A 3,492-nucleotide genomic window follows, 5' to 3' on the forward strand; every position below is an offset into this window, starting at 1 on the left:
CATGTGTGTCTATGTGTTCTTTACGTAGATGTGGAAGAATGGGTTGTTGTAAGGGTGTCTCTGTGTGTATGTGTCTATCTTTATGTAGGTACGTGTGTGTGTCTGATTGTCTGCCTGGCTTTCTGAGTCTGTTTATCTGTGTTTGTTTGTGTGTATGTTTATATTCATGTGTCTGTCTTTGTACATGTCTGTCTTTGTATGTGTATGTCTGTCTGTCTCTGTTACATGTCTGTCTGTCTTTGTGTGTGCCTGTCTGTCTCTGTGTATGTGTTTGTCTCTGTGTATGTATTTGTGTGTGCCTGTGTGTCTGTCTTTGACGTGCCTGAACATAAGAGCCACCTGGATTCATGAAAGAAGCAGCTTTCCTGCACCTCCAGAGCTGTCCACTTTCCATTTAAGTTCCAACTATGAAACCTTCACTGGCTGAGCATCTACCATGCACCAGGCACTGCACTCGGAGAGTAAAACCAAAAACAGAGCACCTGGAGATAAAGAACTCACTGTGCCCCTTGGATTCAGACGAACACGTTAAGGGAACGACAGGCAGTAATTAACCACTAACTGGGTGTCTCAAGAACTTCCTGTGGCTGTTTGAAAATCTCATTTCTGCTTCTATGAAGTGAGTGCTATCATTGTTCCCACTTTGCATGGGGGAAGCTGAGGCACAGAGAGGGCAAGTCACTTGCCCAAGGACACACAGCAAGTTGATGGTGAGATGGGGAGTTGGTCAATCTCTAGGACTCACGTTCTTTTCTATTTACACTGAAGATCTTTATTGATTGACAGTAAAAGCAATCATTTGGGAGAATTAATTTTTTTTCTTAATTTCCAAGCCTCTCTTGGTTTTCAAGGAGAGTTAAAAAATACTCCAACCTACCCCTATGTCAGGTCATAAAGTCATACACAACCGTCCCGAGGGCTGCCTGGGTGCCTGCTACTCACAGACAGGAGGGATGAGAGACCAGAGGGCTAGGGAGGCCAGGGGAAGGGCCCCGCCATACCACTGGCCAGGCAGCATCTCTAACAGGTGATGCTGGGGAGGAGTGCCAGGTGGAGCATGTCAAGAAGGCCCTTTGAGAAGGAGGGCCAGACCGGACCAAGTGCTTTGGCCAGCGGGATTTAATCAAGTGCAGGCAGGAGCTCAGGAGGGTGAGCAAAGGGCCTTGTCTCTCACAGTGTGGTCCGAGGACAACCTCCATCAGTGTCACCTGGGATACGGGTTAAAGATGTAGATTCCTGGGTTTGCTGTAGGCCTACAGAAGCAGTTTCTACAGCAGCAGTTTATCTCAAGGTAGGGCCCATGAATCTGAATCTTTTAAAGGGCTTCAGATAATTCTCTCTCTTTTTTTTTTGAGACAGAGTCTCACTCTGTCGTCCATGCTGGAGTGCAGTGGCGCCATCTCGGCTCACTGCAACCTCTGCCTCCTGGGTTCAAGCAATTCTCCTGCTTCAGCCTCCTAAGTAGCTGGGATTACAGGCATGTGCCACCATGCCCAGCTAATTTTTGTATTTTTAGTAGAGATGGGGTTTTTTTTTTTTACCATGTTGGCTGGCCTCAAGCAATCTGCCTGCCTCGGCCTCCCAAAGTGCTGGGATTACAGGCGTGAGCCACTGCACCTGGCCTTCAGATGATTCTTATACTCACTTGTATTTCAAAACCACAGACATTTGGGTTGCAAGGCGAAGCTGGAGGGGAGTAGGTAGTGCCAGATCACAGATGGGCTTGAACACTGTGCTACACTTGGACTTTGTTCTAATGGCCATAGGGAGCCATCAGAGGTGTTTGAGCAGGGGAGGAACTGGTTTATTTCTCCAGTGGCACAGTGAAGGCTGATTGTAAGGAAATAAGATAACAGGCAGAGAGAACTGATATAAGACATTGTACAATAACCCACGTAAGAAATAGTAAGGCCTGAATTTGGACAGGGAAGTCTGGGGAAGGGGCAGAATGTCACTAAGCGGCTTATTTGTGACATTGGCGAAGTTGTGGAATGTCCTCCTTGCATGGAGGCCAGGGCTGGGGGGCAAATGTCTTGACATTCCAATGTAGAGCTGTCTTCTAGGTTTAGATTTATGCTCTGAATTTCACCAAACCAGAGAAGGCTTCCTGGAGGAGGTGATGTCATCACCAGAGCTCAGTGAGTGGCAAAGCCAGGGAGAAAAGAAATGGGGTTTGGGGAGAAATGGTCCAGTGTTCAAAGCCACTCCATCCTAAGGGGCTTCCTGCATCCAGGGCATTGCTGATTTCTCCACAGAGAGTTCCAGGGACCCCTCCTGGGTGTGTGTCCTCCATCAAGACGTGGAGAAAGTTGATTAGTGTGGGAGGCAGCCAGGACTGGCGTTTCTAATTAACACGCAGGCAGGGAGAATGCCTCTTCTTCCAGAATCTGTATTCAGCTGATTGAATATCAGGGCTGGGGCTAAACTATGAATCGTGTGTCAAAAAATAAAGCCTGTGCTCTCGGCTCGTTAAAGGAACAGCGTCCCATTTTCAGTTCTCTGCTTCTCCAACAGCCTGCCTGGACAGGGAGGAGGACCCATGAGATGGAGACCCCTGGAGCTGGGTGTGAGGCCTGGGGGAGGCTCCAGGCAGGCATGAGAAGGGAGAGGCATTTGGGGAATGGAGAGATCAGGCTCGGATGGAGAAACCCCAGAGGAAGATGGAGGAGAACCCCAGATGGGTTTTTGGGAGCTACTAGGTTCAGGAGGAGAAGGAAAAGAAACGGGCCGTAAAAAGAAAAAGGCAGCTTGCTATGGCAGGGGAGAGAGAGAGAGGGGCGAGCAAACACAGGTTCATTAATCTGTAGTTCGTCTGCCTTTTCTGTTAGGAGGATGAACTTGATGAGTTAATTAAGTCGCAGTCTGTAAAACCAGTTTATTTGCATAGCAAACTCCTGGGCCAGTGTGCTGTGAGTTGAGTGTGTACCAGCAGACAATTCGGGGGAAATTACAGCCTCATTAATATGCTAATCTGGTTGCAGGCCTGGAACGGAGTTTTGGGTTGGTGGTGCTTGGGGGTGGTGGGTGTTTGGTTGCTTAGCAACCCTTTTCTCCAGGTAACCCTTCTCTGGCTTGCCCTTGATATCCCCAAAGGATTGCAATGTGGAAGACGAGGTAAGCAGGGAAAGCATTCTGTTGTCACAGAACAGTGAGCAAAATAAAAGGCAAACACACACACACATTCACACGCATAGCCACATTATGCCGGTGTCTCTACAAACAGGCTCGGGAGGGGGCAGGGGAGGCTGTGTGGGTGCAATAGACAGACACCAACATGCAAAAGCACAGTGTGTGGAGTCTGTGGCAATAGACACAGAGATGGTAACACTCTACTACACACACACACACGCACACACATACTTGCATGTGGATGCAAACACAATTGGTGCATGGGTTTTGTTTAACAAATAAACCTGCACAATGGGATACTCAGCCTCTGCAATAATGCATACTGTTTGTACTACCCCCATCTCACACACACACACACACACA

The 3,492-nt window shown here is 48.3% G+C and overlaps 1 annotated feature.

Moving 5' to 3' along the window:
- Nucleotides 2,496-2,996: an enhancer, noted in NCBI's record as "H3K4me1 hESC enhancer chr12:113938319-113938819 (GRCh37/hg19 assembly coordinates)". NCBI's record gives its function as "activates a minimal SCP1, AML or CMV promoter by ChIP-STARR-seq in primed H9 embryonic stem cells {active_cell/tissue: H9 hESC(primed)}" and the evidence as "EXISTENCE:reporter gene assay evidence [ECO:0000049][PMID:30033119]".

This window comes from Homo sapiens, chromosome 12, assembly GCF_000001405.40.
Source record: "Homo sapiens chromosome 12, GRCh38.p14 Primary Assembly".
Classification (NCBI taxonomy): domain Eukaryota; kingdom Metazoa; phylum Chordata; class Mammalia; order Primates; family Hominidae; genus Homo; species Homo sapiens.